The sequence below is a fragment of the Homo sapiens genome, chromosome 5, assembly GCF_000001405.40.
Source record: "Homo sapiens chromosome 5, GRCh38.p14 Primary Assembly".
In the NCBI taxonomy this organism is placed as follows: domain Eukaryota; kingdom Metazoa; phylum Chordata; class Mammalia; order Primates; family Hominidae; genus Homo; species Homo sapiens.
This window is the reverse complement of record NC_000005.10, coordinates 13,942,350-13,969,983: the sequence shown is the minus strand read 5'-3', so window position 1 is coordinate 13,969,983 and position 27,634 is coordinate 13,942,350. Positions and strand designations below refer to the sequence as shown.

The 27,634-nt window shown below is 39.7% G+C and overlaps 1 protein-coding gene across 11 annotated transcripts in view; it reads left to right on the top strand.

The window, feature by feature from the left end:
* Positions 1-27,634, top strand: part of DNAH5 (dynein axonemal heavy chain 5) — a 321,491-nt gene that overhangs the window by 41,835 nt on the left and 252,022 nt on the right. The window contains exon 1 of one of the 11 annotated variants that reach the window (XM_047416886.1): positions 19,632-20,567. The exons of 9 other annotated variants lie outside the window; for them this stretch is intronic. Coding sequence is in view for 1 of the 2 variants with exons in the window: in NM_001369.3 (NP_001360.1) it covers positions 25,546-25,602 (57 nt within the window). In the remaining variant the exon portion in view is untranslated. Of the gene's footprint in view, positions 1-19,631; positions 20,568-25,295; positions 25,603-27,634 lie in introns of those variants that run through there. One more of the 11 variants, NM_001369.3, reaches the window with a different exon arrangement.

Genomic DNA, 27,634 nt, shown 5'->3' with positions numbered 1-27,634 from the left:
CTAACACTGGAGCTCCCAAATTTATAAAACAATTACTAGTAGACATTAGTAATGAGATAGCAACAAAATAATAGTGGAGGACTTTAATACTCCAGTTACAGGTCGTCAAGACAGAAAGTCAACAAAGAAACAATGGACTTAAACTATACCCTAGAACAAATAGATTTAACAGATATTTACAGAACATTCTACCCAACAACTACAGATTATACATTCTATTCATCAGCACATTGAACATTCTCCAAGATAGACCATGTGACAGGCCACAAAACAAGTCTTGATAAATTTAAGAAAATTGAAATTATATCAAGTACTCTCTCAGACCACAGTGGAATGAAATTGGAAATCAACTCTAAAAGGAATCTTCAAAACCATGCAAATACATGGAAATTAAATAACCTGCTCCTGAATGATCATTGGGTCAACAATAAAATCAAGATGGAAATTAAAAAATTCATTGAAGTGAAAGATAATCGTGACAAAACTTCTGGGATCCAGCAAAAGTGGTGCCAAAAGGAAAGTTCCTAGCATTGAATGCCCACAGCAGAAGGTCTGAGAGAGCACAAATAGATAATCTAAGATCACACCTCAAGGAACTAGATAAACAAGAACAAACCAAACCCAAACTCAACAGAAGAAAATAAATAACCAAGATCAGAGCAGAACTAAATGAAATTGAAACAAAAAAATTACAGAAGATAAATGAAACAAAAAGCTGGTTCTTTGAAAAGATAAACAAAATTGATAAACCATTAGTGAGATTAATTAAGAAGAGAAGAGAGAAGATCCAAATAAGCTAAGTTAGAAATGAAACAGGAGATGTTACAACTGATACCACAGAAATACAAAAGATCATTCAAGGCTACTATGAATACCTTTATGCACACAAACTAGAAAACCTAGAGGAGATGGATAAATTCCTAGGAATATACAACTATTTTAGATTAAACCAGGAAGAAATAGAAATTCTGAACAGACCAATAACAAGCAGTGAGATAGAAATGGTAATAAAAAAATTGCCAACAAAAAAATTCCAGGACCAGATGGATGCATTCACAGCTGAATTCTATCAGACATTCAAAGAAGAATTGATATCAATCCTATCGACACTATTTCAAAAGATGGAGAAAGAGGGAATCCTCCCTAAATCATTCTATAAAGCCACTATCAGCCTAATACCAAAACCAGGACACGACATAACAAAGAAAGAAAACTACAGGCCAATATCCCTAATTAACATAGATGCAAAAATCTGTAACAAAATACTACCTAACCTGATCCATCAGTATATCAAAAAGATAATTCACCATGATCAATTAGGTTTTATACCAGGGATTCAGGGATGGTTTAACATATGCAAGTCAATAAATGTGATATACCACATAAGCAGAATTAAAAAGAAAAATCACATGATCATCTCAATAGATGCAGAAAAAGCATTGGACAAAATTTAGCATCCCTTTATGATTAAAACCCTCAGCAAAAATGACATAGAAGGAACATACCTCAAGGTAATAAAAGCCATCTACGACAAACCCACAGCCAACATTATACTGAACAGGGAAAAGTTGAAAGCATTCCCCCCTGAGAACTAGAACAAGACAAGGATGCCCACTTTCACCACTTCTATTCAACATAGTACTGGAAATCCTAGCCAGAGCAGTCAGACAAGAGAAAGAAAGAAAGGGCATCCAAATCAGTAAAAAGGAAGTCAAACTGTCACTGTTCTCTGATGATATGATAGTATATTCAGAAAACTCTAAAGACTCATCCCAAAAGCTCCTAGCACTGATAAATGAGTTCAGCAGAACTTCAAAACACAAATCAGTAGTACTGCTATACACCAACAGTGACCAAGCTGAGAATCAAATCAAGAACTCAACCCCTTTTACAATAGCTGCAACAACAACAAAAAATGAAATAAAATACTTAGGAGTAAACCTAACCAAGGAGGTGAAGGACCTTTACAAGGAAAACTACAGAACACTACTGAAAGAAATCATAGACAACACAAACAAATGGAAACCCATCCCATGCTGATGGATGGGTAGAATCAGTATTGTGAAAATGACCGTGTGGCCAAAAGCAATCTACAAATTCAATGCAATTCCCATCAAAATACCACCATCATTCCTCACAGAATTGGAAAAAGCAATCGTAAAATTCATGTAGAATCATTATTGTGAAAATGACCGTGTGGCCAAAAGCAATCTACAAATTCAATGCAATTCCCATCAAAATACCACCATCATTCCTCACAGAATTGGAAAAAGCAATCGTAAAATTCATATAGAACCAAAAAAGAGCCCATACAGCCAGAGCAAGAGTCAGCAAAAAACAAACAAACAAACAAAAAAACAAATCTGGAGGCATCACATTATCCAACTTCAAACTATACTATAAGGCTATAGTCATCAAATCAGCATGGTACTGGTGTAAAAATAGGCACATAGACCAATGGAACAGAATAGAGAACCCAGAAATAAAGCCAAATACTTACAGCCAGCTGATCTTCTACAAAGCAAATAAATACATAAAGCAGGGAAGAGCACCCTATTCAACAAATGGTGCTGGGATAATTGGCAAGCCACATATATAAGAATGAAACTGGATCCTCAACTCTCACCTTACACAAAAATCAACTCAAGATGGATCAAAGACTTAAATCTAAGACTTGAAGCCATAAAAATTCTAGAAGATAACATTGGAAAAACCCTTCTTGACATTGGCTTAGGCAAAGACTTCATGATCCAGAATCCAAAAGCAAATGCAACAAAAACAAAGATAAATAAATGGGACTTAATTAAACCAAAAAGCTTCTAGGCCAGGTGCAGTGGCTCATGGTTGTAATTCCAGGACTTTGGGAGGCTGAGGCAGGTGAATCACTTGAGGTGAGGAGTTTGAGACCAGCCTAGCCAACATGGCAAAACCCTATCTCTACTAAAAATACAAAAATTATCCGGGTGTGGTGGTGCACATCTGTAATCCCATCAACTTGGGTGGCTGAGGCACGAGAATCACTTGAATCCAGGAGGTGCAGGTTGCAGTGAGCTGAGATCACACCACTGCACTCCAGCCTGGGCGACAGAGCAAGACTGTCTCAAAAAACAAAAAGCAAAAAGCAAAAAACAAAAAACAATGCTTTAGCATAGCAAAAGAAATAATCAGCAGAGTAAACAGACAGTGGGAGAATATCTTCACAAACTATGCATCCAACAAAGGACTAATATCCAGAATCTACAAGGAACTCGAACAAATCGGCAAGAAAAAATCAAACAATCCCATCAAAAAGTGGGCTAAAGACATGAATAGACAATTCTCAAAAGAAGATATACAAATGGCCAACAAACATGAAAAAATGCCCAACATCACTAATGATCAGGGAAATGCAAATCAAAGCCACAATGTGATACCACTTTACTTCCACAAGAATGGCCATAATCAAAAAACCAAAAAATAGATGTTGGTGGGGAGGTGGTGAAAGGGGAACACTTTTACACTGCTGGTGGGAATGTAAACTAGTACAACCACTATGGAAAACAGTGTGTGAAGATTCCGTAAGGAACTAAAAGTAGAACTACCATTTGATCCAGTAATTCCACTACTGGGTATCTACCCAGAGGAAAAGAAGTCATTATACGAGAAAGATACTTGCACACAGATGTTTATAACGGTACAATTCACAATTGCAAAAATATGGAACCAGCCCAAATGCCCATCAATTGACGAGTGGATAAAGAAAATGTGATATATATACACACATACACACATACACACACACACCATGGAATACTACTCAGCCATAAAAGGAAACAAAATAATGGCATTTGCAGCAACCTTGGATGGAATTAGAGACCATTATTCATGTAGAGTGAAGTAACTCAGGAATGGAAAACCAAACATCGTATGTTCTCACTTATAAACGGGAACTAAGCTATGAGGATGCAAAGGCATAAGAATGATACAATGGACATTAGGGATTGGGGGAAAGGATGGGAGGGGGGTGAGGGATAGTATTCAGGTGATGGGTGCACCAAAATCTCAGAAATCACCACTAAAGAACTTATCCATGTAGCCAGTGGTATCTATGGTTACACCTGTTGGTGTCCATGGAACCTTGGTATCCTTGATATCCATGGAACCACCTGTTCTCCAAATACCTATTGAAATAAAAAATAAAATAATAATAATATTCAGCTCACTACAGCTGTTAGTGAAGATTTTGAATATGTAAAAATCTAGTATTAGGAGGGCTAGGACATTTTCGAATATATTTGCTGTTAATTCAGGAGGAACTGGGTGAACATCCAGCCCCATGAACAATGTAACTGATATTAAAGAGAAATTCTCCAGGACTTTGCCACTGAATAACTGTCAGATTAATGGAGGAAATTGGTTGGAAGAGACTGATGCAGTTCTCTCTGCCAAATAATGCCTTAAACAAAGCGTGTCTTTTGGGATGATATGTGAAACAAGACTTTGTTAGTTGTTCTATATATAGTTTGAATGTTTTATGAGAAACTTACTGTTTTTTAAGGTATGAAAACATGATTTTCATTATTCCTTAGAGTCACATTGGTTTCCTGTGAAAAACTTGCATTATGACATGTAAATAAAAATATTATTTTACTTAGAAGAACTCAGTTTACATGCAATAATTCAGGTGCTTATCAATCATGTCCAGTTTATCCAGAGAATAAAAGGGAAGACATTAAAAAAACGGATTTGTCTGTTGACTTACATATCATTTTTTTTAACATACAGGTTTTAAAATATTATTAATGCCCTCTCAATAATAAACACTTGAGGGGCTCATTCTGGTAGAATGGGAGAGAGTTCTAGAAACACATGTTGACCCTCTAGGGTGCCGTGTGTAAGAATGAAAGGCTATGATGATGGAGGGGAGGGACTGGCATTAGGGAAAGCACCTTGAAGGAGTAATTACTAACCAAGTTGGAAACAAAGAACAGGAGCTTCCCCAGTGGACGAGGTGGAGGGATTTTTCACGGAACACAGTATTGGGAGACACATGGTATGTTTTGGACATTGAAGGTATTACTATCTGGTACAAAGGGGACAAAAGAGAGGAGATTTAGGGTGAGAAATGACAAAGGGTCCTGGGGCCCAAAGGCATTTATCTGTTTAATTCACAATATTGGCACTATTTTCTCTTCTCATTCCTGATCCTACTTCAGATACTGTATATATCTTTAAACACACGTTGGCATCACCCTCAGATCTTTGTATCCCCAACTTCTGCTCAGCCACCAGGTTCTGTCAGTTCTGTCTCATCTCCAACCCTATGGCCACTGCCATGGTTCAGGGCCTTTACTCGGGTCCACTGATCTGGGACTTGGAATCAGGAGGGAATGATCTAAGGTCAAGGCTACTTGCAGCCCAATTTTGGTGACCACTGAGGCAGGGCTGAGAGTCAAGTGCAGCTGGAGTCCACGTCCTCCAGTGTGACCTTGAGCGATCTCTCTGCCTCTAGCCCCTCTTGGTTCCCATCTAGTTTCTGAGCCTGATCCTCCTGTCTGTCCTGTGTGCCTTTTCAGTAACATTCCAATAACCTCCTTTCTTGCCATTTACCCAGTCACTGGGAGTTGATTCCAGGACCATCAACCAAGTGGGAGGTCTGAGACTCAGGAGAGACTCACCCAGTCACTTGCAACCGTGGAGGAGCCAGAGGGGCTCAAAAGGCCCGTTTTGGTACTAAGGTGCTCAGTCCTTGCAATGTTCTAGGTGACCCTGGGCTGTCTGCTCTGAGTCCTATCTGGGGTGCCATGATTGTCAACTAAAGGAAAAAAAAAGTCAAGTGTTTAAAGAATTAAAGTTAGCTTTATTTACAGTTTTACTGAGGACTGTAGGCCAAGGCCTATAGCTGAGGAACAGTCCTATCAGACTACTGTGGACAGTGTTTTAGCCTACTGCTTATGTAGAGGTGGCCAGGGATCGGTACATGTAAAATTACTGTAGACTTGTTTAGAAGGTATGTTGAAGCAGAATTGAAGTTTGCGGTTGTGTGCAGGGGTGGATGCCTGTGATCCCAGCACTTTGGGAGGCTGAGGTGGCAGGATTACTTGAGGATAGGAGGATAGAGATCACGTCTCTACAAAAAAACATAAAAATTAGCTGGGCGTGGTGGCACATGCCTGTCGTCCCATGTACTCAGGAGGCTGAGGCAGGAGGATCATTTGAGTCCAGGAGTTCCAGGCTGTAGTGAGCTATGATAGTGCCACTGTGGAGGAGGGGGGTAGTGGGGAGAGCAATTTTATTAATGTTCGGGTATAAGAGTATATCTGGTTATAGATTATGGAAGTATAATTACTAATCCTGTCAGACATTATCTTATGTGTAGGAAAAAACAAGACTAGGTTATTTATTTATTTATTTATTTATTTATTTTGAGATAGAGTCTCGCTTTGTTGCCCAGGCTGGGTGCAATGGTGTGATCTTGGCTCACTGCAACCTCTGCCTCCCGGGTTCAAGCGATTCTTCCTGCCTCAGCCTCCCGAGTAGCTGGGATTACAGGTGCACGCCACCACACCCAGCTAATTTTTGTATTTTTAGTAGAGATGGGGTTTTGCCACGTTGGCCAGGCTGGTCTCGAACTCCTGACTTCAGGTGGTCCACCCGCCTCGGCCTCCCAAAGTGCTGGGATTATAGGCGTGAGCCACCGCTTCCGACCAGGTCATTTATTTTTTAAGGAATGTAATGATTTAGGCAAGAGGCATGGAGGACCATATGCTCTGTTTTGTTTGTCTTTTTGTTTTTAGAGAGTTGTATGTCATCTCAGAGTCAGGGGCTTTGTGAAATTATTCTGGCAAGAAGAAATGAGCAAATATGGCTTTTTATGATTGTTACTTTGTCTCACATCAAGCAGGAGCTCTAGCGGATCCAAGCAGTGATAGGAACAGTATAAACACAGGGAGAGGGAGAAGGTGGCTGGTTCTCAAAATGGCGGAGCACTTGGGCAGGGAGATGCTCCCTGCTCTTGGGACGCGGCGACTGTGGTGGATGCACCGCTGCTGTGGGGTGTCATGGACGTGGCACTTACCTGTGAGGCTGGCCGAGCAGCTGCCGGGACAGTTTGTCTTTGCTTGTGTGTCTTAAACTCTCATTACCTGTGACAAGGACTCCCTTCCCTGACCAAATTTTGTCAGGGCCCTCTTTTTGACTAGCTGGGTTCTTGGCCCTGTCCTTGGCCTGCCAAGCCCAGTTTTAGTAGGAATCTTGCTAAGCCAGTTTAGGGAGAACCCGTTCCATCCCCTTTATATCTAATCAAGTTCTTCTTTCCCACCACACTTGATATCTCATCAAATTCCTCTTAGTAATTTTCCATCTACTGATGCCTGCCCATTGGCTAAAAATCTCCAGCTGCTTTTGCTGTATTTGGAGTTAAGCTCAGTACTGAAGTCTGTCTTCTCTAACTGCAGTAGCTTGAATAAAATGTCTTACAATTTTTAGGAAGTGTCTGGTTCAGTTTCTCTTTAACATCTGGGTTTTATGAGACTGTTTTTTTTGGTTCCTGGCAATCCAAAAGAACCTTTAGAAAACAAAGATGTGTACTATAATGCTAAAATTGCAGCATATTGAATGTTTTATGAGAAACTTATTGTTTTCTAAGGTATCAAAACATGATTTTCATGATTCCTTAGAGTCATATTGCTTTCCTGTGAAAAACTTGCGTTATGTCATATAAATAAAAATATTATTTGGTTAAAAAATTCAATTTACATACAATAAGTCAGGTGCTTATCAATCATGTTCAGGGTTCTTCCCACACACAAAAAACATAATAACAAAACCAAAAACCACAAAGCAGCATGAGGAAGCTTTTGAAGGTGAGGGATATATTTTTACCTTGATTGTGGTGATGGTTTCATGGGTATATGCATATATCCAAACTCATGAAATTGTATATGTTAAATATGTACAGTTTTTTGGTATATCAAGTATACTTCAATAAAGCTATTGATAATAAAGAAAACCTCAAAAAGTATATGTATGTACTGGCACCTGCTTTGCATTGAAAGCAAAGCACAAACAGACACAATTAAAATAATATAAACAAATAATAAAAGCGTTAGTGATTGAGTTCTATGTAGAGGAGTACCCAGATCAGGAGAGAGTATCAATCAAGGCAGGCTTCTCGAAGGAGGAAGCTTTGGGTCAGGTTGGGAGGGAGTTGAGCATCAAGGATTAGTAGGAGGAATGGGGGAGGCATCTCACCAAGGGGCTCATAATGCTGTGTAGTGAAGATGGGATCATTTTGTCCGTGGGCTTTGGACGAGTCACTTTACCATACCTTTCTTTCTTTCTTTTTCTTTTTCTTTTTTTCAGAAGGAGTCTTGCTCTGTCACCCGGGCTGGAGCGCAGTGATGTGATCTTGGCTCACTGCAACCTCTGCCTCCCGGGTTCAAGTGATTCTCCCGCCTCAGCTTCCTGAGTAGCTGGGATTACAGGTGCCCGCCACCACACCCAGCTGATTTTTGTATTTTTAATAGAGATGGGGTTTCACCATGTTGGCCAGGCTGGTCTTGAACTCCTAACCTCAGGCGATCTGCCCGCCTCAGCCTCCTAAAGTGCTGGGATTACAGGCGTGAGCCACCATGCCCGGCTCGCTTTACCTTTCCATCTCTGAGTTTCCTCATTTGGAAAATGGGAATAGGAACACTCACTTTTGTTAAAAATTACACATACTGGAAACGTACTTTGCCTTTCTCACTCTCAGTTTCCTCATCTGGAAAATGGGTATAGTAATACTCTCTTTTATTTTAAAAAGATGATTTTTATATTATTAAATATATACAGAAAAGAACTGGAAAGTGGTCAAGGGAGGGAGGTATAGAAAAACTTATTCAGCAAAGAAGCTTCTTCCTTACCTGCCTTTCCTGACTCAAAGAAATCTGCCCACAGCAGAACTGGGCCTGGGGAAACTCATTCCAATTTCTTTCCTCCCTTGGAGGTTGGGGAAAGAGTGGAGATTTCAGAGGCTTTCAGGATACTGAAGAAGGTAGGGGGAATGATAGGAAGCTATTGCAGCCTTTTCCAGTTCTTCTCTCTTCTTGTGGAACTAAGCCCAATCCCATCTCACAATACTCGATATCAAAAAGATGACCCCATGGAAGTGGGCACACGTGGGCACCTATGTGCTGAGCATGAGGCTGGTTGTGATGAGTAAGTGAGGCATGGTGCGTGTGGAGTAGCCACGGGGAGAGGGTGGGTGTGGGAGGAGGGATACTGAGGGACTCCCAGGGAGGTGAGCATGGAGCCGGGCTGTGCCTTGGCCAGGGGTTCCCCTATGCTGACGTAAGAAGAGAGGCACAGCCAAGTTGTGTGTGATGTTGGTTTAGACCAGAGGCCAGCGAATTTTTCTGTACAGGACCAGATAAATAAATATTACAGACTTTGCAGCTCTCAGTTGTAACTGCTCAAGTCTGCCATTGTAGCATGAACGCAGCCATGGGCAATACAGAAATGAATAAATACGTCTGTGTTCCAATCACATTTTGCTTACAAAAATAGACAATGGGCCAGTTTTTGCACATGAGCCATAGTTTGCCAACCCAGAGAGTTAGGAATTCTGAAAAAGGGATATTAGTTTCAATCATACCCCAGCAAGATGATGACGATGTGAGCCCATCAGTGCCTAGTGTTCACCCCTCCAGTGTTGGGGTTCACTCATCTGTGCACCTCCTCACATTCACTGTAACACAGTACGGTCCACCTCGTTTCTCCTCACCTTGCTTCTTGCATTTGCTCCACCAGAGTAACCTAACTCAACAATTTTTTTTAAATCTCCTGGGATTGAAAGAACTTTTGCAGCATGCTAAATCAAAAACTAAAGATTTGGATTTTTTTTTTTTTTTGAAGATAAAAGCGTTCCCCTCATGCCGTAGGGAAGCAGAACACTCCTTTTCTATTCTTGTCTTTGCATTTTGACTGTAGCTGGGAGTGAGTCCAGTTCTGGGGGTGTTTTTCCTGGACTCAGTCATGAGGAATCTTTTTTTTTGAGATGGAGTTTAGCTCTTGTTGCCCAGGCTGGAGTGCAATGGCGCAATCTCGGCTCACTGCAACCTCCACCCTCCCGGGTTCAAGAGAATCTCCTGCCTCAGCCTCCCGAGTGGCTGGGATCACAGGCATGTGTCACCACGCCTGGCTAATTTTGTATTTTTAGTAGAGACGGGGTTTCACCATGTTGGTCAGGCTGGTCTCAAATTCCTGACCTCAGGTGATCTGCCTGCCTCAGCCTTCCAAAGTGCTGGGATTACAGGTGTGAGCCACCACACCCAGCTGAGGAATCTTGATAGAACTCACACAGAATTCCAGGGAGAGGACTTGGGGTAAGGAATGAAGAGGGAGACCCACGGGGGTAAAACCACCTCCAGGTCCCACCTTTTCTCTGCCTTGGTGGCCCCAATCCTTTTCTCAAGGACCCCACTGTCCTGGGCGCTGGGCTGGTCCGAAAAGGGACCTGCACTCATGGCATGAAGATGTGAAGCCTGGTTCTGACTTGGGGCTGGTTTGGCCAAGTTGGCCTGATGAGGGGCACCTCTCCCCAACCTTCACCACCTGGCATTCTCGAAGACAGAGAGAATCCACACTTGTCTGCCTCTTCCCTCTCTATCAGTCTTCTTGAGTCTTCAGTGGGATTCATTATATTCAAAATGGCCTGTATCTGCAGTTTGGAGTTCTGCGAGGACTCAACTCTTTCTAAAATTAAAAGCCATTGAGAACCAGGCACAGAGGCTCATGCCTATAATCCCAGCATTTTGGGAGGCTGAGGCGGGCTGACCACTGGAGGTTAGGAGTTTGAGACCAGCCTGACCAACATGGTGAAACCCCGTCTCTAATAAAAATACAAACATTAGCTGGGCGTGGTGGCACATGCCTGTAATTCTAGCTGAGGCAGGAGAATTGCTTGAACCTGAGAGGCGGAGGTTGCAGTGAGCCAAGATCGCACCACTGCACTCCAGCCTGGGTGACAGATGGAGACTCCATCTCAACAACAACAACAACAACAAAAAGGCTGTTGAGAAACATAAAATTCCTTCATGATTAATTTCTGACATAACATTGTAGGAGCTTGTGATTTGTGTGACTTCTCTTTAAAATGCATTAAGGTTTTGTGTGTTCTAATGATTAATTTTGTTAACTATCTATGGCACTGTAAGATAATAATTTGGGGGAGATTTTAAGGTTTAGTATATTCCTGTTAAAACATTCTATTAGAACATCCTTTAACTATCGTTTTTGTTAATGTTACCTGTAGTTCTAACAGATTTTGCTTATTTTATTTTAGTACTGGTTTTTGGCACATAGCTACTATATATTCATAGTTAATTTTACTTTTTACGAAAATAAAATGGCTGTCTTGGTCCAAATCTTTAATGCCTTTGTCTTTAATTCTACTCTATGTAAGAGTAATATTGAGGCACCTATTCCTTTTTCTGGATGTGTGCTGTTATCTTTATCCAGTCTTAAAAATAAAATCAATGGAAAGAAAATTATCAGAAGAAAAATAGGAAGGGACATGAACAGGCAATTTACAAAAATAAAAACAAAACAAAACACAAATACCCAGTAAATAATTTTAACATGTTCAGCTTCACTTGTCAAAGATTTGCAAATTAAACTTGCAAGAAGATAACAGCAACTTACCATTTCTCATCTACCATATTTGTAAAGATGAACAAAATTACATTAAATTTCTCATGGAAATCAAAGAGTATAATTTTGGAGAGATGAATTTTATAATAATTTATTGAAATTAATAAATAGAGATTTATACCAAGGATTTGTATGCAGGGATATCCATTATACTGTTATTTATAATAGTGAAAAATTGGAACCAATCTAAAAGTAAAAAAAAAATTGGCTAAATAAATCAAGGCCTATGTAATTGATATGCTATGCAATCGTTAGATCATATTTTGAAGAATATTCAATAATATGAGAATGTGTACATGATACATTTTAAACTAAAAATAAAGGTATATATACATATATACATATACATGTGTGTATTTTATTTTTAAGAAAACGGGAGCTAGAATATTTATTGCTCATGGAGTAGAAGAATATATGTTAATAGTGTTCATATTATGGTGATTTTTTCTATTTTCCAATCAATTTTTATTATTTTCATAATAATAAAGTATATTTAAAAATACAGGTATTGGAATTACTTAAAAGCAGTTAATGATCTTAAAGAAAAGATGATGTTACATTTTAAATGAGAGGAAATGATCAAAATCAACTCAAAGAGTTCACTATGTAACTATCAATATTGGGATTACTATATGGATATATTTACATATTTTCCTCTTTAAAGATTGAGATAAAAGTTTTTGCCTCTTCAATGTACCATCTTCCACACAGTAAGATATATTTTATTATTTATAATTATTTTATTATTTAACTTGGGCCATATGATATAGATAGAGAAAATGTCTAAATTGGAAATTTTTGAAAGGGAAATCATCAGAACATAAAGACAAGTTTCTTGTGGGTTAGAATTGAAAAAGAGAAGACTGGCTTCTCTTTCATTAAAGCATTCAGTAACTTTCCCACTGTTCTGTCTTCTTTGTAAATATGAGACAATAAGTGTAAATAATTGATAACCTTTGATGTACTCATGAGACATGGGTCTGTTTTGTATTTCCTTAGCTCTTCAAGCTAATGGTTAATGGGTGAGTTATACTTTCAGCCACTGGATGGCAGCTAACCTCCACTAGTAGTCAGCTGTTTCCAGAGTCTCTCCTTCTGTAGTGTAGACTGTGCTTTGTTTAGCATATTGTGCTTGAAGGGAGAAAAGAATTCAACATGCAGTATCTCTGGATTAATCTCATTTTATTAACCTCTGAACATAAGGTTTTATAGGGCATGAGATTGAAATGCTGTAAATCTTGTAACCAGAATCTGAGGATTTCTTCTTAAAAAGAAAAAAGCTAGATAAACCTGTCTGTTGATTGAGGTACAGTGTTGTTTTCATGGACTGTAGATCCATTACTAATAGTAGAACTTTGCCAATTTGACATCCCTGCACTACAAATAAAATTGCAACAACAATTCTCTGTAAGGAAAATATTTGTGAACCTTAGCTGAGCCATGGTAAGTTGATGCTCAGTATACTGAAATTCACTTTTATGAATAATTCAGTTCATGAAATTTCAGTGTGCAATTCTATCCCATTTGATAATCACTCAATAAAATGATAATAAAAAAGAGCACCTGCTATGCAGGAAAAAATGTGGCAGTTGAATCATGCTGTAAACCTCACACTTCGGTCTCTGCTAATAGAGGAACGTAGAAGTGCAGGATAAGCAGTTTCTCTCTTCTGTCTAACTAGGGGCACGCATGGGCAGAGTGACACTCAAAGGAGGGGCTGGGATTTGCCTTTTACACTTACTTATGAGTTCTTTTACTGCATATCCTCAAATAACTCACTATCTATAGCAACAAGTTAACAAAGATAAAAGACAATAACAAAAATGAGAACAACAATGGCATGAAAAAGGACACCTTCAAGGGGATAAAAACAGAATAGAGGTATTACTTAATGAGAGAAAATAGTTTTGGTTGATGACTATACACAGTATAGATGATGTTTAAAAATTACCATTCAACATATATTTAATGAGCACCTGTTATATGGCAGATATTGTGCTAGTCACAGTATTCATAGTCTTTATTTTAAAAAATATCCCAGCATAAAGTTTATTTCTAAAATGTAATTATTATTTAGTATGAAAATGATTAGATTCAAGGAATGAGCTGTAGAATTTCAGAGAAGGGAATCATAAGATTCGGGAAGAATGCTATAGAGGAAGGGCCATGGGAACAGATTCTTGACACGTGAATGGGACAGTGACCAGCAGAGATGGAATGAAGTGTGTGTCAGACCCTATGAAAGTGCATTTAGGGAAGAGCATGTACCACCCCACTGGTGAGCGTGGACAGCGGTGGTGGTTTGCAGGGAAGGTAGGAGATTCTTGTTCTGTTTTTCTTCATTGTTGCACGCTCTTGGCAAGGACTTTCCCTCCCCTCATGTCTTGCTTTTCTCCTGTATATTAGAGTAAAATTTAATATTGAAATAAGAGTTTTGAACTGATTTTAAAAAGGTTTAATCTCTACCAGAGTTAAATAGAACTAATTAGGGAAATATAAACTCTAATTAGATTGTTTACTATTTTGAAAACCTTCCGTAGGACAAACTTTTGTGATTTAAAATGTTTTCCATTTTATTAATTTTCTTTTTTTTCTTAAAGAGAAAAAAGTAATTCCCAAATGAGGATAACAGTTTGGAGAAAAATTGCCTTCAGCCTTAGTTCTTTTAGTCATATTTGCCTCACATTTTCTCCTAGGAGACTGCTGTTTTCAACTTTGTGTATTTCCTGGATTAAAAAAGCAATAGATTTTCTCTTACTGCTCTACATCACTCAGTGAATTAACCCCTCCAATTTTTGTTTCTTTACATTTGTTATTATTATGTAATGAGCTGGACACACCCTGTTTTCTTCCATTCTTTGTTTGGCAGTGAAACCCACTGAGGATGCTGAGTTCTCTTGGTGTATTAGTCTGTTTTCACATTGCTATAAAGACATACCTGAGACTGGGTAATTCATGAAGAAAAGAGGTTTAATTGATTCATGTTTCCACAGGCTTAACAGGAAGCACGGTTGGGGAGGCCTCAGGAAACTTACAATCATGGCAGAAGGCAAAGAGGAAGCAAGCACATCTCACCGTGGTGGCAGGAGAGAGAGAGAGTGAGGGGGGAAGTGCCACACACTTTTAAACAACCAGTTCTTGTGAGACCTCAATCGCGAGACAGCAGTTGGGGGACGGTGCTAAACCATTAGAAATTATCCCATGAGCCAGTCACCTCCCACCAGCCTCCACCTTCAATACGTGGGGATTACAGTTCCACATGAGATTTGGGTGGGGACAGAGAGCCAAACCATATCAGTCTGCCTTTGACTTCGCGTTGATTGTGTGGTCCTAAGTTGTTTCAAAATGAAGCACAGAATGGCAAGAAAATTGGTGATGAGTGAGAGTGAACGTGTGAGAACTGGCTGAGATGATTTTCCTTTAGGCTTCAGGGTCAGAAAGAAGGGAGATAGAAAGCAGCCAGGGAGGTTAAAAGAGAAAGAGTCAGAGATGTCCCAATGTGGAAGGCAGAACAGGCCTCACTCAAAAAGTAGCAGCGAGATCAACGCTGGGGCAGTTTAATGGGCAACGGGGAAACACTGCCTTCCTTCTGGAATTTTCTGTTGGAACAGATTCGAGTGTTAACCCTCTACTTTGGGAAAGGGGGAGGAAGAAAGTGGAGAAGCAGAGAGAAATGACTTTCCCTGGCCTGCTCTCGCTCACTTTCGGAACACCTCTCTCAGGAACATGTTTTCCTTTATTTTCTTCTATTACAAAAGGAAGAGCTTGCAGACTTTATTTAAGCTTTTACATTTTTCCTTCTAATTTTTAGACATGCAATTGCTCCTCCTTCACTAAAGTGATTTAGACCAACTTCAAAACTGAGTTTTATGAAAAGTTCTTTCCTTATCCTGTAAACCTTATTGCATATAAAAGGGTATATTTTCCACGTGTCGACTCATGAGCTTGGTATAGCACCCTGGATTCCTGCAACCTTCATAAGGTCTTATAATTTAGTACTTTATTATTTCACTTAGTTAGTTTTATCTCCTTTAATGGATTATAAGCTCTTTCTGGGAAGGAAGTGTTTTATAGTTGAATAACATCGTGCAGGGTATATCAGGGAAGCTTAATAAATATGTTTTGATTGCCTTTGGTGAGATGAATGAGTACACTAAAGTATTTTCTTAAAATATGTAACATTTCCTCTTAAATCACACCTAAAATATGGACTTACTTTTCTTACCATGTAGAAAAAATATTTTACCACCAGGTTTGACCTTTAGGGTCTTTACTGTCTTTTGTTTCTATTAAAACAGGAACTGGCCGGGCGTGGCAGCTCATACCTGTAATCCCAGCACTTTGGGAGGCCGAGGTGGGTGGATCACATGAGGTCAGGAGTTCAAGACCAGCCTGACCAACATGGTGAAACCTCGTCTCTACCAAAAATACAAAAATTAGCTGGACGTGGTGGCAGGCGCCTGTAATCCTAGCTGCTTGGGAGGCTGAGGCAGGAGAATCACTTGAACCTGGGAGGCAGAGGTTGCATCAAGCCGAGATCGCGCCATTGCACTCTAGCCTGGGTGACAGAGCAAGACCCCATCTCAAAACAAAACCAAAAATAAAACAAAACAAGAAGCATCCCACATTTTGAATGATATAATATTTGAAAGTTAAAACAATCAAAAGAAAGTAATTGTTCAGATTAATTCCATTGCAAATGCTGAATCACCAAGTAAGGGCTATATTTTCAAAATTCTTGCCTTATCTTGTTCTTTATGTTTTCATAGCAAGGTCCTTTATGTCCCCAACTTGGAATTTACTTCAATCAATGACTGTTGATTTATGTAGTTAATTGTGCCATTTCATTTGAATGTTTGAACCCACCCAGGGGCTACATTTGAATATAAGGCCCAATGTTAACTGTTTCTAGTAGAAGAGTTCATGATAGATGGAAAATCAGGAAGCTGACAATTCTTTTGGAAGCAGGAACAAGGTATTACATTCTAAAGCTATTGTCAAATGTATTTATGATAGAAATGTATATATATATATACACATTCACTTTAATTGGGTGTCATTTCACCTCTGCTCCGTCAAGAAGTTGTGATGTTGGTTTTAGTGAGAAGTGTTGAAACCCATCCTCAAGAAAACTCTGAAGGGACATTTGATCCGTACAGAGTTTCTATAATTTAGTCTTCTTAGCAATAAGATGAACTTATTCTTTATGTGTATGAGAAATGAAGTTTATGTTTGGTCTCTAAAATAATATTTTATTAATAGCAATTTTGCTCTTGAAGGAAACAACAGTGTCAGAGATTTGTCTTGTGACAACGCATTAAGTAGCAATGACGTTTATCACAAGTTATGTTACAGTGTTTAAGAAAGGTCAAATACTGAACACACAGATAGTCTCAGCTACTTGGGAGACTGGGGTGGAAGGATCACTTGATCCCAGGAATTCCAGGCTGCAGTGAGCTATGATTGCACCACTGCACTCCAACCTGGGCAACAGAGTGAGACCCCGTCTCTTTAAAAAACCCTGAAGAAAACAGCAATGGGTAAATAAACGGGTTATTTTTGTCCTCCTTGGCAATGTAAATATTGTTTTCTTGATAGTGGAGTAACTCTAATACAATTTGTAATTGTTGGTAGTTTGACATTTAAAGACATAATTAGGTCCTGGATGGGATTATAAATGGGCTGGTTTTCGTTTAATGAGCAGTTGGAAAACCCAGAAATACAGTCATGGGTAAGACATATTGATCCCTGCCCTCTGAATTTGCGGTGATATTGGTGGAGGTTGGGAGTCATCAAAAACACAGCCCCTGAGCTTCCCCTTGAACTCTGATCTGCCACCAAGTGCTCTCTTTCTGGGGTGATCAAATCATTCTTTCTCTGGCTAGAAACATCTTCCTTTGATGTCTCCCTGAGCCTATTTTTAAGCTTTTCAGAGACAGAACTTTCTTTGCAGAAATTGCTGCGTGCTTTAAAAAAATGGATTTGCTCTCTCTGATCACATTCTTGTAATCAGGAGTTTTCTGCCTTTCAAATCAATGCATCTCATTTTAGTTCCAGACTCCTTAGTGTGGGCGTGAGTGCTAACCATCAGTGTTTATGGATATGTCTTGCTTATTTTCACGGATTTTTATTTGTGATAAACGTCAAGCTATCCCAAGTTGGGAGATCCCTCTAGTTAATTAATGTGCTTCTGATGGGGTGATGTTAGAGGCCCTGGGCTGGGGTGATTCTTCGTTGCTTTTAGAAGATGTCTCTTGAGTCAACAAACAATTCCTATTATCAGGATTTTATTTTACATTAAATGACATTTGATTCACTTTTCTCATTAAATCTTTCTATAGGAAGACAACATGATTTTGAAGTTACCATTTTCATGATATCTTAGCACAAGAGAAAAGCAAAGAGGACCTAAATGCAGGGTTAAAGGAGAATTTTTATGTTTGCTGGTAAACCTAACTCTACTTTTTACTTTCTCTTTTTAATGAAAACTAACACAGCTGTGATAACAGCAAAGATAGCCCCCAAAATGATCCCTCAGGGAAACTGGAGCCCTCCACTTTCCTTTCCACAGCTGTCTGGTTTCTGCAGGGTGGTGTGTGTCTGTTGATGGGACAGAGCAAGCACAGGAGGGTGCAGGCTGGTGAGTTTCTCCCCGTTGTTAACTGCTGCTTGATGTCTTCAAAACCAGGGACCAGATCTTGGCATGAGTAATGACTTATGAAATGAAATATATTTTCCTTTTCAATGAATACCTTATAAACTCAATCACAATGAAAAAAAGAGAGAATATGGGCCAGGCATGGTGGCTCACGCCTGTAATCACAGCACCTCGGGAGGCTGAGGCGGGAGGATTGCTCGAGTCCAGGAGTTCGAGACCAGTCTGGGCAACATAGGAAGACCCCATCTCTACAAAAAATAAGTAAGAAATTAGCTGAATCTGGTGGTGCACACCTGTGGTTCCAGCTATTTGGGGAGCTGAGGTGGGAGGATTGCTGGAGCCCAAGAAGTTGAGGCTGCAGTGAGCCATGACTGCATCACTGCACTTCAGCCTGGGCGACAGAGCAAGACCCTGCTTCAAAAAAAAAAAAAAAAAAAAAAAAAACGAAAAAAACAAAAAAAAAACAAAAGAGACAGAGTATATGAATATTGTTACTTTATATTCAGGAAAATAATCATGATTTGGTGCCCTAGAATGCCAGTGTGTGAAGTGGAAAAATATCAATTAAAAGGTAGCAAAATGTGAAGACCATCAGCTCCTAATGCTTTCATAAAGCAAGAAGCATCACATTAATAAGGGTTCTCTTCCTATCTCTCTAATTAATTGTGGTTGTATATTTGTATGGACTTTGAATTTCTGAAAGTACAAGTAATTAAGGCATGGGGTTATTCCCAAGCTGTTGGTTGTCCTTTAGATGATAACTACAAACAAGCTTCTAATAAAGAAGTTTTTTTTTTCTTGGTTCTATATGCCATAATGCTGAAATTTTGGTTCTAAGCAAGTAACAACTGCAATAACCAAGCTAGGCGATACTATCTGAAGAGACTCAACATGAAACATAACTGTGCTATGCAGCAGAACCAAAAGCAGGATGCCAGAAAGACTTACTATAATAATCTTGGTGATTTGCACCTAAAATTGAATTTACATGTCTTCATTCACAACCCATGAGCTTTGTGTGTGTAGGTTTGGGAGAAAAATTTCAGAAAGCACTACAGCTTTATATACAAAGAATACGGCTGGGTGTGGTGGCTCTTGCCTGTAATCCCAGCACTTTGGGAGGCTGAGGTGGGTGGATCACCTGAGGTCAGGAGTTCGAGACCAGCCTGACCAACATGGAGGAACCCCATCTCTACTAAAAATACAAAATTAGCCAGGCGTGGTGGCGCATGCCTGTAATCCCGGCTACTTGGGAGGCTGAGGCAGGAGAATTGCTTGAACCCAGGAGGCGAAGGTTGTAGTGAGCCAAGATCACGCCATTGCACTCCAGACAAGAGCAAAACTCCCATCTCAAAAAAAAAATACAAGTATCATGGTTTGGGGAGCAAAATTTGTTCAAAATATGGGCATCTGGAAAGGAAAAAAAACTCTTATGGAGAAAACACTATTACCATAGGCATAACAGTACTGCAGTGTTTAAGTGATAGGCCTCATCTCAGATGATCAAGTGGTCTCATAAGTTTTCTAATGTTTTGTGTACCATGTTATAAGATAGTACATGTAGAAATCATATTAAGATAACATTGCAGTTACTTTCAGCATGCAGTATGCTTGGGATCTGAGATCCTTCACTTAGGTTGTGCATTTTTCTTGGAGCCAGAAGTTACCTGCAAGATCACTGGGCCACCCATCTCATATAATTTAGGGGAAAATGGGGCCAGTGTAGCTGGCTCGTTGTTAATCAGAGGCCACCTAAGCAACCAGTATGTACAGGATTCAGGATCAGAAGCGTAACGTCCTAAAGCCAGGACAACATTATTTCTACAGGTATGTGGAAGTGTTACCAGGGAAGACAGAGATACTTCTTAGACAGTCTTTTCTTTAATGTATCCCTCCGTTAGTGCCCAATATTCCTAATTCTTACACTTTCTACATGAAAGGCACTATGCAAGATAACATCTGGAAAGTGCGTTTAGCCCCAAGCCGCTCTCTTCCTCCAAACGGCAGAACTTAGATGCTCTTAGTGTTTACTCTAAATGCATCAGCTTTCTGTGTCCTCCTCTGGAGTTTCTCCTCTCTTGCCCATCCTCTCTTTTGAATTTTGACAGATGAGTCTCCCAGGAAACTTGTGCATCTTTTCAAGATTACCCTGTATAATTTCAATCCATAAAAATGGTGACAAAATCAACCAACCATATCACTCCATTTGAAGCTCTTAGAATCACTATCTTCTTTTGTGAGTATAGCTCAAATGATTATGGCATCAATACTATATTATTGGTTCCTTTATTTCCTTTTTATTATGAGTTTTTTCTTTTTATTGTGAGTTTTAAAATTGCAATTGTATAAAGAAAAAGATACTGGATGTTTATTGTCTTGCATATAATCATACTGGCCTTCATGTTTTCAAGATGGAAAGACCAAAAGGAAAAGTAAAGAATTAGAGCTTTATTTACATTTCCTTAGTCATCTAGTCTCCAAAATGTACTTTTTCTAGATTCCTCTGCTTCTGCTTAAGTTATGATGATTCTTTACCCAAGCTGGGAAACATGGAATCCTCTCTGACAATGGTGTCCTTTTCTCTGTTACCGGTTGTCAAGTTCCATTGTTATTTGTGTGTGTTTTTTTTCTTTCTGGTGTGTTCTATCTGTTCTTTCTCATTCCTTCCTCAACCAGGATTTCTCTAGAGGAGTAGCTTAGGGGCAGCAATATATTGGACAGAGACAAGGAGACTTGCCCCTTTTATTCAGCTTGCGAGTTTATTCATTTTTAGGTTGTTTGGGTGACCACAGTTTCCACCTCCCTCTATTGAATTCTTTATTTCTTCATGCCCAGGAGACTGCCTTCAGTCTCTCTCTACTTCATCCTTACCGGCGTGCAGCTATAATACCAGCATAACCTTCCTAAACAAGACTTTCATTAATTCAGTGACTCCTTAATTGCCTGCAAGGCCCACTACCTTAGATTGACGCCCACCATTCAGCCTCAACATACCTTTCAGAGATTAATCAATCATTTTTACTTAAAATTGCAGCACAAGACGGGCTCTGTTGAATTCCAGTCTCCAAGATAATTTTTCACATATGTTACACTCTAGTTTTCCTATCTACTAATTTGAATCTTATTCTTCTATAGGGCTTGCCTTAAATTCTCCCTTCTCCAAAAGTTTCCTTTGATCATTAGAACTCACAAAACTGTATTCATCTGACCTAATCCATTATCAGATGAAACACATTACTGTGTCATTAACCACCAAGAAGGAAAAACACCTGTCCATTAAACTAGGCTTCATTGCTTTCTTAGAATTTCAATTTTATTTTAATTGAAGCTCTTTTAAACATCACCCCCATGCATCCATACAAAGATAAGTGCAATGAATTAGTTAAGAAACTTCTAAAACTTCTTCACATGTAGGGTCTGACTCTTCTGGGATTTTCTTCCAATCTACTAACATCCTTCCTGCAAGTTGCAGTGCTGGTGTTTTCTGGATCTTCCCAGAAGGTGACAGTGAAGATTTCTAGAAAACAACCGGGACACACATTTCTTCCTCACATGGAGCTTCTGTGGTTTGTTGGCTGTAACTTCCTGGTATTGTTGTGGCCTTGTGGTGCCACTTGGGTGACAGCTGGGTGTGCACAAGCTCTGGTAAGGACACTCATGTCATGATTTTTGTCTGGCCAACAGCAATTATAAGAGGGCATTGAATATAAGATGAAATATCATGTTGCATTTGGAATGACCACATTTCAATATGGTAAAGCGTGAAGACAAATGTGCAGCGCTTGATGGGTGAAATATGGAACTCTCTCATCCCACTGAACTCATTTGCCATTTTTATATGCTGTAGTTTGTATCATTGTTTACAAGGCTATTAAACTGATGAATGTGTTTGATCCTGTTGGGCCTCAGTAAGACATTCTTAAAGATGGAAATCCATGAAAAACGTGTAGCTAGTAACTGATAAAACTTGGATCCACTCTTTTGCTAGGACATACTCAGAAATTGAGAGCAAAATTTTCAACCAGCTCTCGACTGAAATGTGTGGGTTAGGTTAAGATTTAGGAATTCGTCCTCTCCATTGATATTGCCATAAATGGTAGTCATAACTCTTTTGCAGATAAAAAATGTGGTTATATATTTCATTTATTAGGTGCCTATGAGGATCTAGGAGATTTAAATATATTTAAATCATTACCAGTTTTAGGTAAGTGGTTTTATTTCTAACGTCTAATTTAGGAGACAAAATATCTGATGTCACATAGCTGGGATTTAAGTTCAGGTCTGTCTGACCCCAAAGTTGCACTTTTCTATTAAGCCATATGGAACGGGATGTACATACGAGGCTTCAAGATGCAGGGTAGATGACTCCATAATTTAGAGATGAGTTTAGAAAATTTTACACTTTGGAATGTAAGCGTAAAGGTAACAATTCAGAACATATGTCCACATAAAGCTTATACCTTATTTTCTTTTAAAATGACACTTATCAAAATTTGTAACATTTTACTTGTCATTATACATTTATTTATATATTTGCTTAATATCTACCCCCAGTAAAGGCAAGAATAACCATTTTTTATTGATTATGAAATGTACATTTTTCATATTTTAACATCTGTGAAATCAGAATGCACCTTAAAATGGATATGTTGAATAGGCAGCATTATTTTTTCATTCCGAGTGTTGCATAGGATAATTATGCATTCTACAATTAATATTTTTAAATGTCTGAGTAAACATCTGTTTTTATTAGCTGTTCTATTCATAGTGTATAGCGCAGCGTCTGGCTGCGTAAAAGGCACTCACGAGCTTTTGTTCAATGAATGAAAGTGGAACTTCAAACTTTGCCTGCAGGTACTTGGATTTCTGGATGAAGCCTTCCGCCCACATGAGGTCCATTGTCTACTCTTGTTTTCCCATTATGTCTGACAGGATTTGTGTATGACCAATATTTTCAGCCTGGAAGGGTGTACTATCCGCACAGACGGGGCTGCAGACCTCCCTCGTGTGAGTCCTATATATAGAGCCCTGCCAGCTGAAGCTCTTGCCTGGTGGAAACTATTTGTAGGCAAGCCTTTCTGAGTTTCCTACCGAACAATGTTTGATCATTTCCCTCCAAATGCCAGAAATTGACTTTCATTCTGGCAGGGGCTGGCGGGGGTAGGTGGCCTGTTGTAAATTCAGCCTTGGCTTGCTTTGTTTGTGTTGTTCAACAACTTCCAGTGAGCCTGAGCGCTCAAGAAGATACCTTAAGACGCCATCTACCTTGCCCGAGGGGTTGAAATTCAGCCACACAGACTGGAAGGCTTCCCGGTTTGCTGTGAAGCCTCAAGGGAGTCATGGTTATGCCTGCCAAACACAAAATGCATGCCATCAGCCATCTGTGGAAATCTTCCCAGGAAGTAACTCTCCCCAAGCGATGCGTTGTAAATGGGCTGCTGCTGCAATGAGGATGGTGCCTAAAATACCATTAGGGAAGCACCGATTCAAATGTAACTAATGAAAGATAATCGGCGATGTAATGAATTGTAACATGTTTGTCCTGAGGTCATGTGTTGACAGAGGATTCTTGGGATGGATAGGAGATGCCATGTGAGGAGGATCCGATCCTACTGCTATTTTCTGGTGTCTTCAGCACCACACAGAGAAGGGACTCAGAGTCTAGATACTGTCTTCAACACTTTTTATTAGAAACGGACAACAGCCGCTTACCAACAACCAGAGGTTGACTTCAACAAATATCCTGCAGGGCCTGGCCTGGTGGCTCATGCGTATAATCCCAGCACTTTGGGAGGCCGAGGTGGGCAATTGCTTGAGGCCAGGAGTTTGAGACCAGCCTGGGCAATGTGGCCAAACCTGTTTCTACAAAAAATACAAAAATTAGCCGCGTGTTGTGACACTTGCCTGTAGTCCCAGTTACTAGGAAGGCTGAGGTGGGAGGATCACCTGAGCCTGGGAGGTTGAGGCTGTGGTGAGTGGTGGTCACGCAACTGCACTCCAGCCTGTGTGACAGAGTGAGACCTGCAGGTCTCAAAAAAGAAAAAAAAAATCCTGCAAACAAACTTAAACTTCCTGTGTTCTAGTTATTTACTTACCAAATAATATTGAGGTCTAAATGTTGTCTGTTAACCTGACATATGGAGGCCGTCCGTGCCCTAGCATTGGATATGGACCAAGTGAATCTCCATGTTCTGAAACCATGTCAGCACCCTGCCTTCCAAGTCAGGCTCCACAGAGGTTGACTAGCAGGATGTTACCAGGATGAGTTCCCAATTTCCTGATTATCCTTGGATGACCTTTTAGGATTTGAGTTGCTGGACTGTGAATTCCAAGGACTAAATTCTAGATTCAACAAGACCAACCTTAAGTGTCCTGCCTTTTATTCAACTCGATGGGAGAAACCATACATGAGAGATCTCTCAAAGCATTTGGCAGTGTTTTCCCATTACATCTTCACAGTTAAGATGATCAAGATGTTTAGCCACATAGGATAAATTACCTTGGCTGAAGTGTATGTGCAACTGTGTGAGCACAAGTAATTTATGGACATGGTTTGCTATTTGCATATGAAACAGACTTCTTGTTCTTTGTGGTGGAGAAAATGGCTCCTATGGGTCACAATTAGCCTATCTGGCAATTAGTCACAATTAGTCACAATGCTGGCAGTGCATCGTGCTTGCAAAGTTGTTTACACAAAGTAAGACTGAGTTTCTCGACATGGACAATATATTCAGAGCTGTGGCTTCTTGGATTTCTAATCTGATATGGTTTAAAGTTTCTCATTGTTCAAAGAAACTATTTAGATATCACTGTTGACTCAATGCTTATTATTGGGCAGTGAATAGAATTAATTGAACAACAGAAGGAGTTGTGTTGCTACCGAGCAGTTAAAATGCTTTGATTGCTTGATAAACATGATTAAGAGGCATGGTTCAACTGTATAGTGTATAAACAATATTACCCTAACAACACCAGGCTTCGAGAGAGAGGAGAGGCCCAGGGCAGACACTCTAGGAGAAAAACTTGAGTGGTATAAGTGGAGTTTTAATTTTTATTCTGTGAATGTAGTGAATAATACATGCAAATTAGAAACGTGAAAGTAAAATGGAAGTAAAACTTTCCATTTGGAAGCCTGTTGGATGTTGAGCAGGTCTGCCAGGAGTTAGAAGACCATTCCGGAAGAGCTGACTCCAGCCTGTCCATGCACGGCTACAATGTTTAGGATTGGGAGGAGACAGCTCTGGAAGCATAGCGTCACTCGAGTTTTAACGGTAAGGTGCTGTTGTCTGTACCTTTGCATGTGTGTTTTGGATTATCATCTGTCACACCTGGGTGGAAAAAACAAACTTGAAAAAGGTTCAAAGTCACACACTGATGAATTTGCGAGAAACACATTTTTTAACTAATGTTCACCTGGTGCATAGGCTACATATTCATTTTTTAAATAAAAAAAATTTTGCATCTGTAGGCTTTTCTGCACGTTGCCGCTTAAACTACGCACCTAGAAATTCATGCTGCATCTTTTGGGAAGATGCTTTCCTGGGGTCAAAAACACATTCATAGTGGTTTGGGCACTTTGTATTCTTTCAAACCTGTAAACTTTAGTTGGTGATTAGAAATAGTTAAGGCAGATTCTAGGCTGCAAGGTTTAGGCTTTGAAATCACTCCCCTGTTCTATATGCCTGCAAATGAGGTCACAGACAGTGAGATGCAAGGCTGTGCCTTTGGAAATCACATTGAAGAATGAACTTCCCTAGCACAGGGCTCAGCTCAGCAGCTTTTTATTATGCAAATGCATAGAGAGGGATTTGGAAACCTCTTCCACTGCCAATTAACGTCAGAAGAAATTGGAGGTTTCTCTAGGACTCAGTTCTCAACCATTAACCCATGCTTCCTACTGGGCTTGATCACTGTGTCTTTTTGTGTATCCCCAGAAGCTCACATGATCCCCCCTAGCCTGTTGTTTTTACCACAAAAGAGCAGGCATCTACCTCTGAATTTTTTAAGTATGCCACCATCTGCCACCCCTCACTTGCCCAAGCCACAAGATTCTGATGCATCCTTCCCAAGGTGAACGTCTTGCAGCCAAGCCCCTGAACTTGCTTGCTAGAGTTAGAAGACCATTCTGGAAGAGCTGACTCCAGCCAGTCCATGCACTGCTTATTCTTCAAGACCAAGTGCTAGTGTTACCTCCTCTGAGAAGCGTCCCCTGACACTTTGAGGAGGAGGTGTGAGTTTCCTTCCTGTACCCTGTCAGCACTTTCCTTCGATGTCTTATAGAGTCCTTGTCACATCACTGTAGTGAAATGACATTTACCCACATGTCTCTTTCTCTTGCTAGATTGCGAGTTCTCTCCATTTTAAAATAATCTTCCTTTAACACAGAGCTTGGTCCATAGTATATGCTTGGTCCTTAATATATGCTTGTGGAATAAGTTGAATGAATTAAACATTTCACATGTCTGAACATTTTTCCTGTGCTTCAGTACCAAGTCTGAAACACCACAATTGATGATAAAATCTCAGGTATAATTAATGAATTATTCTTCCTTGACATGAACTATGTTTTGAGAGTAAGTCAAGTCTTTTGGAGGTTTCAATTATATATTTAGGATGCTGGTTTGGTTCACTCCACTGAAGTATAATATTAACAGAATTACCTTAATAGTATTGCAGTGTATTATGTAAATAATTACACAGTTTCTACTTAGTGCACTGTGTTAAAGAAAAAAAATTATTCAGTGACACTTGGTAAAGCATGGTAAAGTAAGACTTTATTCACGACCGTCGTGTTAGGTATAAGGACCTATCTGGGGAGTGATGGGAGAGATTGGGCTCAACTGTGAATATGGCATGGCCAAGTGAGGATTTGTAGCCAAGGAGCAGGGCAGGGGTCAGTGGATAGGAAAGTGCTTAGAGGAGACATCAATGGGGAGGGGGATTCTGGCTAAACTGACGACCTACCAGGATTCTTGCTGAAGAAAGGCCAGGGGGATGAGACAGCACGTGGGGGATGGTGGAGGATGAGGAACCCAATCAGCGACTGACGGTGATCAGATATTGAGTACCCTCTACAGGGGTTCTTGTTAACTGACTTAGCAGAGTTCTTTGCTAAAACTAGATTTTACAAGGAAGTGTACAGATGGGCCTAGGAGAAGATTCAGGAACCTGACTAAAGTTTGGCCAAGCAAGGAAAGTTTGTCAACTGATAAGATAGCTTATTATATTATAACTTCATGATCGAAAATGACCAATGGGAAACATTCCAGAGCTACCTAACTATAAGTATGTATGTATTTAACT